Below are 13,491 nucleotides of genomic sequence, written 5' to 3'. Positions count from 1 at the left end.
ATTTAGTGATTTAGGACAACACATAGTTACTGTCTTACAGTTTTGTATGTCAGAAGTCTAAAACAGGTCCACAGGGCTTTTCTTCTGGAGGTTCTCAAGGAGAATCTATTTCTTTGCCTTTTCTAACTTCTAGAGGCTGCCTTCATTCCCTGGCTTGTGGTTCCATTCTCCATCTTCTAAGCTAGCAGTGTAGCATTTTCTCTTCTCTCTGACTTGTCTTCCTCTTAGAAGGATCCTTCTGACTCTATTGGGCCTATCTGGATAATGCAGTGTAATGTCTATCTGAAGATCCTTAACTCAGTCACATCTGCTAAGTCCCTTTTACCCCATAAGAATGTATTCACATGTTCTAGGGATTTGGACTTTGGTATCTTTGGAGGCAGAGCCATTATTCAGCCTACTACAGAGACTTCTTGGAAAGCATTTAGACTTTAAAAATAACAGAAAAAAACCTCTGAGCTTTCAGGCAAAAAATAAAAGTCACTTACAAAGGAAAGTCAGTGAAAAAGTGAAACAAATGGATCAACAATTTCAAGAAACTCAAGGAGAAAGGAAGTGTAAGCCAAATAATTTTATGTTCAGTCAAACCTGTCATTGAACTATCAAGGCTAGAGAAAAACAATATTAAACATGGAAGAACTCAGAGAACACTACTCATAAGACATTTCTTAGGACGACCTTGATGTGAAAAAGAGATGACTGGAGAAACTAACAAAAGGATTGATGATGAACATTGAATTTAATTAAGCTTAGCTCCAAACTAAAATTAAGGTGGAAATAAGAGTAGAAGAATAGTATGTAAATATTATGTATTCTGACAAGGTAGGAATATTACAACTTAAAAATTGGGAAAAGAAGGAAAAGAGAAAGGGGAAAATTAAACTTGTTGATTGCTATACAGGTGAGAGATGGGCATCAAAGAATACTTCAAAAGCTAAAACTACTTTTTTTAAAGTATACTCAAAGAAGGCCCACACTCATCCTTATCACTTCCACCCTGTTCTTCATGCAGATTTTGGATATTTAATTGTTCTAATCTGGCATTATTTTTAAATTAGCCCTGTAAATTAGCTCATTTTTAAGAGTTCTGTGAGAGTTTTAGAGTTGGTGAGCACCTTTGCATCAAACTGCCTTATTTTTTTTTATGAGTAAACTATTCATTTTTTCGAAGTCATGCAGCTAAAACTGTCGTAGGGCATTCTTTACTCATTATACTATAGTGTGTTGCCTTATAAATTCAATTTGTCGTGTCATAATCACTTCATATTCTTAATAGTGTTTTGGTTGTTTAACAGTTTTAATTGCAAATAAGTCCAGGATGGGGCAATTAAAATACCTTGAACTCTGCAAGCATCCTACAAGGATTCGACTCGTAGCTCTAGTATTGACTGGCTAAATGTCCTTGGGTGACTTAATCTTTGAGCCTCAGTTTTCTGGTGTGATACCTACTTTGAGGGATTGCTATAGAGTTTAGAAATAGTATATGACAATTGCATCTAATACGGTAACTAGAACATTGGGAGTTTTACCGAGTGGTAGGTGGTAGTATTTATTGGTTTTTTGTTTGTTGTTGTTTTTTTTAAAGACAGGCTCACTCTCGCCCAGGCTGGAGTGCAGTGGCACAATCTCAGCTCACTGCAACGTCCACCTCCCAGGTTCAAGTGATTCTCGTGCCTCAGCCACCCAAGTAGCTGGGAGTATAGGCATGCGCCACCATACCCAGCTAATTTTTGTATTTTTAATAGAGATGGGGTTTCCCCATGTTGCCTAGGCTGAGCTTGAACTCCTGGCCTCATGTGATCCTCCTATCTTGGCCTCCCAAAGTGCTGGGATTACAGGCATGAGCCACCACACCCGGCCTGGGTGAAGTTTTTTGATAGCTACAACAGTCATCATAGTAAAAGAGATTATTAAAATAGTTAATATCTAGGTATTGCTTTATAAATTTATGACATTCTAATATATACATTAAATTATTTTGTACAGGTACAAACATGTTTATTGCATGTATATATTTTTCTTTTCTGTTTTGTTAATAAATAAAAAAATTTAGTTTTTCTAGGGCTCTGTTTTAAGTACACCATATTGATTTTATTTATTTTTAATTCATTTTTGCTCTTCTATTTTTTTTCAGTTCCCAGTGGGAAAAGCTACAGAAAGATGACACAGATCCGGGGCAACTGAAAGGTATCAGAGGAAGTATTGAGACAGTTACCGGAGATACTTCTTCAGCTAATTATCAAGATACTAAAGTTAATACTAAAGAGCATTCAGTCAGGAAATAGTGTTATAAAAGAGAATTTACTTTTCAAGCTATAATGCTATTTTGATTAATGATTTTTCTTTAACTGAAGCTCTAATTTAATGGGAGGAAATAAAAGTTTGAATACCAGCTTTCTATTTTCTAAATATTGGATTATATCATGAAAATCAAGCAGTTTCTATTTCTTTAAATGCTTTTATTAAAGCAATCTAATTATGTGACAGTTTTATCTCATTATGTTTATATTTCATGAGTTTTATGGAATAAAATGTAATTTTATGTTAATCGGTTTGGGATATGCACTTTGGTGGTTATGTTTTGAAAACATTGTGCTTTTGTTTAAGAAAACTACTACTTTGGATTCATCCCAAATATTAAATAGAACTAATTTTACTTAAAAAAATGAGCAAATATTGAAAAAAAATTTTTTTTTAAAAGTCAGTGGCTGATGGTTAAAGAAAATGGTATGAAATAGTGCTGTTTTGTGTTTTTTTGGTTTTTATGTGTTCCAGATGCTTTACAAGTGACTTCTAGTTGTGTGTTTTTAGGAAAAGGGATAGATGCCAGAGTTAGAACAAATCTGTAATAATTGATTTGCACTACTTTCTATCTGTTTGACCTTGAACCCAGCTCAATTTTTCACTTGTGAGATAGGAAGAATATTTAGCATTACTGCAAAGATTCAAAGTGATGCTTAAGTAAAGCACCTAACACAGTGTCTGACACATAGTAGATTTTCAGTAAATATCAGATTCCTTCCCTTCCCTTAAGAATCAGTGCTACTTGAATGACCCTACTGTTTTAATATTTATCCATTCATCAGTTATTTTCTATGTGCAAGGCAGTGTAGGGATACAAAAAAACATTAGACATAGCTCCTTCAACAAATAGTATTGTTTACTAAGGGGTATGATTTATGTACAGGTTAAGCATTCTGAATCCAAAACTTCCAAATAGAAAATGCTCCAAAATTTTCTGAGTGCTGACATAAGCTCAGAGGAAATGCTTGTTTTCTTTGATTTTTCAGAATTTAGGGATGTTCAACTGGCATATACAAGTATTCTAACATCTGAAAAAATCCAAAACACTTCTGGTCCCAAGCATTTCAGATAAAGTATACTCAACCTGTACAGTTAACTGTTAATATAAGGCATCACGTTATGTGGGAATACTCAGAGTAGGAATTCATAGTAGAAATAAGTTTCTCTATTTTGGTGTGGTAGGGGAACACCAGGGGTTTAATGGAGAGCGTGGCCTTGAAGAGAAGAACGAGTAGGATTTAGACTTCAGAATGAGAAGAGCCAAGCAAAAATAATAGATTGAGTAAAGCCTGTCATTAATAATAGTGTTGATCACCACCACGACCATCATTATCATGACACTTTTTAAAATAAGGAAATAGGTCATTTTGACTAGAGAATACCATATGGAAATGAAAAGTCAAGTGAGAAGAGATACTTAAAACCCAATGTTAGCCTAATAAGTACTTCATCAAAGTGTTTTGTTATATAGGCCTCTCAGCGCATACTCATGTGGAACTTCCATATTACTCTAAGTTCATTCTAATTGCTGCATACCTTGCTTCATACAATCCAGCAAGAACTGACAAGAGGTTTTTTCTTAAGGTAATAATAACATACTTCTTTTCACTTTATTTTTTAAGATCCCAGGAATATTTTGAAATTTCTTAACACTTGTAAATTTCTAAGGGGAAGAGATTAGAATAAGATTGCCAAATATGTATTTAGGACTCATTCTTTAAAGGCTTTACATTAATGTCACAACCTCAAATTTGAGAAAAGGTAGGCAGTTTCATAGAAAAGAGGATATCAGGTATACCTTAGGTAATAATTCAGATTTAAAAAATACATAGGGTTTTGTTTAAAGTGTGGAGGATGGAAATAATTTTAAGAGCGGTAACTCTTTGTTGTTCTAAAACTCACTGTAGTGAATAATTATCCATCACACTGAAGGAGCCTCTCCTGTACATACATTAGTTGGAGAAATCCCAGTTTAGAGTTGTTTTTTTCTTCTTCTTTACCCACTATGTTCTTGTCACTTTAGACTTTTTCCTTTTTCCTCTTTCCTCAAAACATTCTGATCTCTTTCCTACCTTAAGGTCTTTGTCTGTATGTTCTGTCTTTCTGGAAAGCTCCTTCTCTACTCATTCTTCATGCTTCAGTTTAAATATTGCCTTCTCAAAGCAGTTCTCCCTGTACAACCTATCTTAAAGTAGGTCCTCTTTATTGTTTCCTATTTCACATGATGTTTGCTTTCTTCTTTGGACTTACAACAATTTATATTTATTCATTTTTTTGTCATGTCTTGTGCTACTCTTCAGGACTTTATTTTTTTTTATTTTTTTGAGACAGAGTGTCACTCTCACCCAGGCCAGAGTGCAGTGGTGTGATCTTGGCTCACTACAGCCTCGGCCTCCCAAGTAGCTGGGATTACAGGTGTGTGCCCCCACGCCTGGCTAAGTTTTATGTTTTTGGTAGAGACAGGGTTTTGCCATGTTGGCCAGGCTGGTCCCAAATTCCTGGCCTCAAGTCATCCTCCCACTCCGGCCTCCCAAAGTGATAGGATTACAGGTGTGCGCCACTGTACCTGACCCTCTTTAGTTTCTAGAGGGCAAGGACCACATCTATTGTTTTCCCCTGCTATTGAATCCTGAGTGCCTAACTAAAATGCTCTCAATCAGTGTTTATTATGTGAACTGTGCTTAACTAAAATGCCCTCCGTCAGCGTTTATTATGTGGATTGCCAGACTTATGGGATGAATAAAAATCCATATCTCTGGAAGTTTCATTTTTATAGCAATGTATATGCTGAACTAAATCAATATAATAAGCTCTTTTAGGAAATGTCATTATTTTATTTTAGAAATTCTTTTTTTACATGCAAAAGTAATTTTATATCCAATCCAAGTCTAAACGAAATTGGCCTAAAATATGTTGAAGTCTAATATATATACAAGGTGATAAGAAGAATAACTATTTAAAAACCTGAGATATACAGATTAGTATTATGTGTGCCATGTTTTAAATAAATAACGTTTTCTGGTTTTGTGGAATACTGTCTTTTCAACTTAAAATTTGTTTTCCTTAATTGCAGCATCATGGAAAAATCAAGAAAACCAACTTTCTAAAAAAACACGAAAAGGTATTTACATTTTAATTTCTAATGGAAGAAACTTAGGAAATGAAGATAATATAGGAAATAGATACATCTGTAATTGTATTTGTCATTTGAATATAGGAACTTATTTGTGTTGATATGGTACCGTTATACTGTAATAGAATTTTGTTATATTGAATATAGTGATTGAATGCACATTTAGGTGAGCTGCTGCTGGAGTTTAAAACTGAGTTGACAAAGTTTTTTAGTGACTTAGTAGATGAAGAAGTTTACCCTGGATTATTTAGTTAAATACAGCCAATTGAATACAGGCATTTTCCTCTTTTCTTTCCCCTTTGAAGCACCCACAACAAATAAAAAAGGTAAACTCATAAATACTAAGCAGATGAGAGACCCCCAGAATTTGCAATTGCATGGTAGGTAGATATTGAGGTGACCAAGCAGATTAGAGAAAACGCTAAAACCTAAGCCTCAAACTTAGCTAATTTGGCCTTAGGAATCTGGAAAAAAGCTTAGGGATTAGAAGCACTAAGTACTTTTGAAGGTGGGGTCAGATAAGGTTGAAACTGGTGAAAGAAGCATTTAGACTATTTAGATCACTTCTTCCACTTTGTATGTCCAAACCACTGTTGCTTTTCTTGTCAGAAGATGGAGAATTTTGAAATATAAACTCTGCACTATAGAAACTGCAAGTTTTGTTTCCCTTATTCTTAGAGGCAGTTTTGCTCAATTCCAGGACTTCCTGACTCCAAAGCCTACGATGATGTTTACCACTGTTCTTGAACTCCTACAATAGACAAATGGTTAACGTTTAGAATTTTTATTATTTATCTGTTTTTGAGGTAGGGTCTCAGTCACCCATGCTGCAGTGCAATGGCGTGATCATGGCTCACTGCAGCCTCAACCTCCTGGGCTTAAGTGATCCTCCTGTCTCAGCCTCCCTAGTAGCTGGGACTACAGGCACACGCCACTGTGCCTGGCTAATTTTTGTATTTTTTGTAGAGACAGGGTTTCACCAGGGACTCATCTAAGCCCAGGAGTTCGAGGCTGGTCTCAAATGATCCACTCCTCTCAGCCTTCCAAAGTGCTGGGATTACAGGCATGAGCTACCATGCCCAACCTAATGTCTCGAATTTTTAAAGACTCATTACAAACCAATAAGAAAAGGACAAAAATTCGATAGCAAAATGGATAAATGATACAATAAGGAACCTGAATGTCTAACAATCATGACATGATTAACAGCCTTATTCACTAATGAGAGAAAAAGTTAAAACAACAGTGAGATATTTCATACTCTTGGTTTGACAAAACTAAAAAATTCTATGATTTCAAGTGCTGGAGATAATGTAGAAGAGCGAGAGTCTGCCTGTTCTGCAGGTTGACAATATCTACTGAAGTTAATATGTGAAGTTAATATGTTAATATTAGGATAGACTAGCTATGCTTGTAGTAAAAAGCAAATCCCGGCTGGGCGGGGTGCCTCACACCTGTAGTCCCAGCACTTTGGGAGGCCGAGGCGGGTGGATCACGAGGTCAGGAGGTCGAGACCATTCTGGCTAACATGGTGAAACCCCGGCTCTACTAAAAATACAAAAACAAAAATTAGCCGGGCATGATGGTGGGCGCCTGTAGTCCCAGCTGCCTGGGAGGCTGAGGCGGGAGAATGGCGTGAACCTGGGAGGCGTAGCTTGCAGTGAGCCGAGATCACGCTACTACACTCCAGCCTGGGCAACAGAGTGAGTCTCCTTCTCAAACAGACAAACAAACAAAACAAAACCCCCCAAACCATGGTGGCTTTACACAACAGAAGTTTTTATGTTGCTTACAACATAACTGTGAATTGAGTGACCCTCTTTCATCTCATAGTGATATGAAGTGAAACATTGTGGCCTCTGAAGTTGCCACTAAAGGGAAAGAAGGTGAAAGACTAGGCTTGCAAGTAGTTTACATCACTTCTATTCATATTTCATTGGCCTGGCAGAACCCAGTTACGTGACCTCTATCTAACTGCAGGAGAGACTGAGAAATGTAGTCTTCTTGTGTGTCAGAGAAGAAACAGTGTTGGCAGACACATAGCACTGACTCTGCCTTGTGCTTTAATCCAGCAATCCTACTTAGAGAAACTCACACATGTGCACAAGGAGAAATGTACAAGATTATCAGTCACAGGATTATTTGTAATAATGAATTTTTTTAAGTAGTCATAAAATGGAATTCTGTAAGGTAATTTAAAAATGGACTAGAGCTACATGTATCTATATGGATAAATCTCAAAAAGCAATTGGTAGAGAGGTATGTTCCAAATGATATCATTTATATAAAATTTTAAACCATGCAAACAATGCTGTGTATTGTTTGTGGATACATATGCGGTAGTATAAAACCTTCATGAGAGTACATCAAATTCTAGATAGTGGAATTTTTCTAGAGAAGGAAAGGGAGAATAGGATGGGAGAGGGTTCAAGGAAGCTTCAACTTATCTGTAATGTGATCTAATGTTTTGTTTCTCTGCACTTATTGCACAGTATATTTGATAAAATTGAGTGGTGAGTCCATTGGTATTCATTATATTCACTTCTGTACTCTTTTATATATTTGAAGTATTTAGTGACAAAAGCATACAAAATTTAAGACCTGGAAAATAATTTCTAGCCGAGGTAAAAACTTCATTGTATAATTCTGAGTAGGTATTCTTCTTTACATTCATTCTTGTTTTAAATAAATAGTTACTCCCATGCATGTAAATACAGTTTCCAATTTTATTTGCCATTGCTAATATAAAGTACTTATTTGTAGCTGGGTGCACTGGCTCACGCCTGTAATTCTAGCACTTTGGGAGGCCAAGGTGGGCAGATTACTTCAGGTCAGAAGTTCGAGACTAGCCTGTCCTACACGGCAAAACTAAAAATACAAAAGTTAGCCATGTGTGGCAGTGCATGCCTGTAATCCCAGCTACTTGGGTGGCTGAGATACGAGAATCACTTGAACCTGGGAGGTGGAGTTTGCAGTGAGCCAAGATCGTGTCACTGTACTCCAGCCTGGGTGACAGAGTGAGGCTCTGTCTCAAAAAAAGAAATAAATATTTATTGGCTATTAAAATTATCTGCTAATAGAATGGAACTTGAGCATTGTCTCGTTTCTGATGACATGAATTATACTATATGAGTTTGTATACAAGTGTGAACATTTTACAATATTGAAAAAATTTTTTTAAATTTTACATTGTTTTAGGCTGCTGGCTTATTTACTTTATAAAATATTTTATTAGTTTTCTAAGTTAAGCTACGACTTACTGTAATTGATCTTTTTAGAGCTACTGGTGTTGAATTTTCCTGGCAGTGGTACAAAGAGGAATTGTGAGAAATAAGTAGTAAGCTCTAGTCTACAACTTAGGAATCTGGTTTGGTTATTATCTTGGATTTGGCAAAATTACTTAACACCTGGTTATAACAGTAAAATAGGAGGCATATTTAGGACTAGACCGGATGACTGTGAGTTCTTTAATTAATATTTGTTGATACTAAGTCAGAAATCTTGAGGAATATGTTAAAAGATAAATCATGGCTGGGTATGGTGGCTCATGGCTGGGTATGGTGGCTCATGCCTGTAATTCTAACACTTTGGGAGGCCAAGGTGGGGAGGATTGCTTGAGGCCAGGAGTTTAAGACCAGTCTGGGCAACATAGTGAGACCCTGTCTTTACAAAATAATTTGTAAAAATACCCAAACATTGCGGTGTGTGCCTAGAGTCCTAGCTACTCAAGAGGAGAATCTGACATAGGAGGATGGCTTGAGCCCAGGAATTCAAGGCTGTAGTGAGCCATGATTGCGCTGCCACTGCATTCCAGCCTGGGTGACAGCGGACCTTGTCTCTAAACAAAACAAACTTAAAAAAAGGATAAATCATGATCATATCAGTTAAACTTTTAACTTAGAGTTTGCAGGTTAGATTTGTTAGCATTTTTAGGGGAACTATATATAACAAAAATACATTGTTACTGGCAGTTTTGTAGTACAGAAAGTGAGTGCTCTGGTATAAGAAGAAAATCCATGTTTTTGTTTTGTTTTTTACAGACAAGCAATCATCTCCTTGGGCCAAAACCATTTCCACTAGACAGATTATTAGCAATATTATATAGTATCGTGGACAGCAGAGTTGCTCCAACAGCAAATATTTTTTCCCAGGTAAGCTTAATCATAGATTATTATCTGTCATCTTTGTGGGATTCTTCAGATAGTAGAGTCAATAGAATTCCAGGCATTCAGATTTTTGTTCAACATATGTTACTGTTTTAACTATATAATGAACCATGTTTTTGGTAAGTAATTGAAAATTACGTATATAGAATCTTTGGGGGTATCACTAAATTTACATATGTTTACAAGTATAACCTCATGGCAAATAATTTAATTTGGCTCTTTTTCAATAAAGGAATTTTTAAAATTAAATAATCATAATTATCTTGCTAATTAAACAAGTGGCTTGATGACCAAGTTGATGAATTGTAATTTAATGAAAACAAAATTGAAAAATTTTTTTTTGTAACAGAGTAATCTACAATGTTCTTATTCCTCATCTATGTACTTTGCAGATAGATGTGCTTTTATTAAAAAATGCTGTTTTCCAGAATAATTAAGTTCTCAGAATTTCACTAGGTGGCAGCAAAGCATAAAAATAGAAAATATGACTTTAAAAAAAACAAGTAGTTAAGGTTTGTTTTTTAGTTGACATTTTAAGAAAAAACAAATTATTAAAATTATAGTCACAGTAGATTTCTTAAATGGTCCAGAAAAACAATGCTTAGCACATGGTACAAGTGGATAGAAGAAAAAGCAAAATGATATAACTAGTATTTATTTAAAAGCAAAGTCATGTCAGATATTGCAGTGAGCATTTTGTTTTCTCTATGCATTTTTAGGTTGAGAAATATGTAAATAATGCCTGCGTTTTAATTAATTCACTGAATAAATCTGGCCCCAGAATAGCTGTCAGACTTTGTAATCTAATGTGTGCTGGTAACTTTTAATTTTTCATTTAGAGAAGAGTTTGAGTAACAAATATAATCTCAATTTTCTCAACATTGAATTTAGATAGTTTTTATAAAAGTCAGCATGTATAGAAAATTGTATCTACATTTATTGTGTTCTTGAAGAAACTCAGTTCACTCAGTTACTAGGCTACATAAATAGTTAGCTATATAGGTAGATAGCTACCTAGATAGGTAGGTAGATCACTAATGCTGATAACTTTAAAAAAGTAATTCAGTTTTAATTTGTGTTACAGGGATTTTTCCCATGTATTTTCTAAAAAAGCTTTGTCTGAAATTGGATTTTAATAAAACTTTACCTTTTATTAATAGCTTTCTACATACAACATAGGAATTTTTTGTTTTGTGTTTACTGTTGCGGTAACTCTAGATTAGCAGGTATTTTGAATTATCAGGTCTTTATTATAAGCAATGGAGCCTTACATTAAGTCAGAGAGATTAAACAACTTTTACAATATGATGCAATGAGTAAACCTTTGAGATTTAAAGCCTAGGGAAGTGAGACAGACAGTGCTTTTGAACAGAGCAGAAACATGTTTGCATCACATGTGATTGTACTTCTCAGGTGCCCACAAATTACCTGTGTGAGGGGCACAGTGAAGGATAGTACATGTTTTTTCTTTCAATGAGCTTATAACTTATTCTAGGGCATTAAAATGTATACATGAAAATACTTTTTTTTTTTTTTGGCTTTCTCTACAAGTTTATTTATTTTATTTTATTTTATTATTATTATACTTTAAGTTTTAGGGTACATGTGCACAATGTGCAGGTTAGTTACATATGTATACATGTGCCATGCTGGTGTGCTGCACCCATTAACTCGTCATTTAGCATTAGGTATATCTCCTAATGCTATCCCTCCCCCCTCCCCCCACCCCACAACAGTCCCCAGAGTGTGATGTTCCCCTTCCTGTGTCCATGTGTTCTCATTGTTCAATTCCCACCTATGAGTGAGAACATGCGGTGTTTGGTTTTTTGTCCTTGTGATAGTTTACTGAGAATGATGATTTCAAATTTCATCCATGTCCCTACAGAGGACATGAACTCATCATTTTTTATGGCTGCATAGTATTCCATGGTGTATATGTGCCACATTTTCTTAATCCAGTCTATCATTGTTGGACATTTGGGTTGGTTCCAAGTCTTTGCTATTGTGAATAGTGCCGTAATAAACGTACTTGTGCATGTGTCTTTATAACAGCGTGATTTATAGTCCTTTGGGTATATACCCAGGATTGCGATGGCTGGGTCAAATGATATTTCTAGTTCTAGATCCTGAGGAATCGCCGCACTGACTTCCACATTGGTTGAACTAGTTTACAGTCCCACCAACAGTGTAAAAGTGTTCCTATTTCTCCACATCCTCTCCAGCACCTGTTGTTTCCTGACTTTTTAATGATCGCCATTCTAACTGGTGTGAGATGGTATCTCATTGTGGTTTTGATTTGCATTTCTCTGATGGCCAGTGATGATGAGCATTTTTTCATGTGTGTTTTGGCTGCATAAATGTCTTCTTTTGAGAAGTGTCTGTTCATATCCTTCGCCCACTTTTTGATGGGGTTGTTTGTTTATTTTTTTGTAAATTTGTTTGAGTTCATTGTAGATTCTGGATATTAGCCCTTTGTTAGATGAGTAGGTTGTGAAAATTTTCTCCCATTTTGTAGGTTGCCTGTTCACTCTGATGGTAGTTTGTTTTGCTGTGCAGAAGCTCTTTAGTTTAATTAGATCCCATTTGTCAATTTTGGCTTTTGTTACCATTGCTTTTGGTGTTTTAGACATGAAGTCCTTGCCCATGCCTATGTCCTGAATGGTATTGCCTAGGTTTTCTTCTAGGGTTTTTATGGTTTTAGGTCTAACGTTTAAGTCTTTAATCCATGTTGAATTAATTTTTGTATAAGGTGTAAGGAAGGGATCCAGTTTCAGCTTTCTACATATGGCTAGCCAGTTTTCCCAGCACCATTTATTAAATACTTTCTTAAGGCTGTAAATGAATGCTAGATAGTGCTTCTGAGAAGTTTAGAGCAGAAAGAGATCAATTCTAGATTGGGCAGGTTGAAAGAGTTCACAGAAGATGAAAAATGAGGCTTGGCTGTGGAGAATGAGTAGGAGTTTTTGTTTTTTAAATATTTCTCATTTACATAAGTGATACATGTTTATTATACAGAAATGTATAAATGGGTAAATAGAGAAATAATAGTTTAAAATCACCTGATATCTTATTTCCAAAGGATAGAGTTAAGGTTAGAGATTCAGAAAGAAAGGTTAATATGATCTGAAGAAAGGTTTGAAAAGCAAGGCATACCTGTGAACTGTCACCCTGGTTTGGTTGGAATTGAATGGGGTTATATTGTAGTGGTAGTTGTCATTGTAGTTGTGATTGTAATAGTAGCATCATAGTAACACTACTGCCACCACATGCCACACCTTACTATTGGTACCTTACATATTGTTCTTTACATTCGTAGAGCATTTTCTGTTTTTAGAAATAAACTCTTCAGCAATTTTATCCTCTGGGGAAAATATATGGCAATTAAAAACAATGGGAGGCTTCTGATTTAGAGATTTACTAGCTGCTCTGAGCCATTGACTATGATGAACAATGTCCGCAGTCTTCGTGGTTATAGCAGTGCCAGTAATATTACACAGTTAAGAAAACAACTTGGCCCAAAATGTATCTTTGTCTGTTAATGAAGTTAAATTTTTTTCAAACTTGACAATTGTAGTTGCTGATCTTTTTATTCTTTATCTCTTCTAATTAACATTTTATAATCAAAATGATAAATTTGTATATTTAAAGTATTGCTATACATGAATTTAGGTGAATTTAATAGCAAGTCATTTAGGAACACAATCTTAGTTATTCTCATTGGGTATACAAAGGGTCGGGGAGTAGGTAGAGATAGATGCAACTAGTTCTAAGGAGTTGATCTTTACTTTTGCTTGGTCAGTAAAGTATCCAAGAAAATCTAATAACATATATATTGTGTTCCAGAACAAAATGTGGCAAGAATCTCATCCAAAGAGTATTTCTCCCACA

The 13,491-nt window shown here is 35.4% G+C and overlaps 1 protein-coding gene across 3 annotated transcripts in view; it reads left to right on the top strand.

The window, feature by feature from the left end:
* The window catches only part of ORC5 (origin recognition complex subunit 5), an 81,673-nt gene that overhangs the window by 37,354 nt on the left and 30,828 nt on the right, over window positions 1-13,491 (top strand). Inside the window, exons 9-12 of one of the 3 annotated variants that reach the window (NM_002553.4) lie at window positions 2,135-2,187; window positions 3,776-3,888; window positions 5,378-5,425; window positions 9,478-9,588. In NM_002553.4, coding sequence (NP_002544.1) covers window positions 2,135-2,187; window positions 3,776-3,888; window positions 5,378-5,425; window positions 9,478-9,588 — 325 coding nt within the window. Of the gene's footprint in view, window positions 1-2,134; window positions 2,472-3,775; window positions 3,889-5,377; window positions 5,426-9,477; window positions 9,589-13,491 lie in introns of those variants that run through there. The other 2 variants (XM_047420431.1, NM_181747.4) reach the window with 2 other exon arrangements.

The sequence above is a fragment of the Homo sapiens genome, chromosome 7 (assembly GCF_000001405.40).
Source record: "Homo sapiens chromosome 7, GRCh38.p14 Primary Assembly".
In the NCBI taxonomy this organism is placed as follows: Eukaryota; Metazoa; Chordata; class Mammalia; order Primates; family Hominidae; genus Homo; species Homo sapiens.
This window is presented reverse-complemented; position numbering and strand designations above follow the sequence as displayed.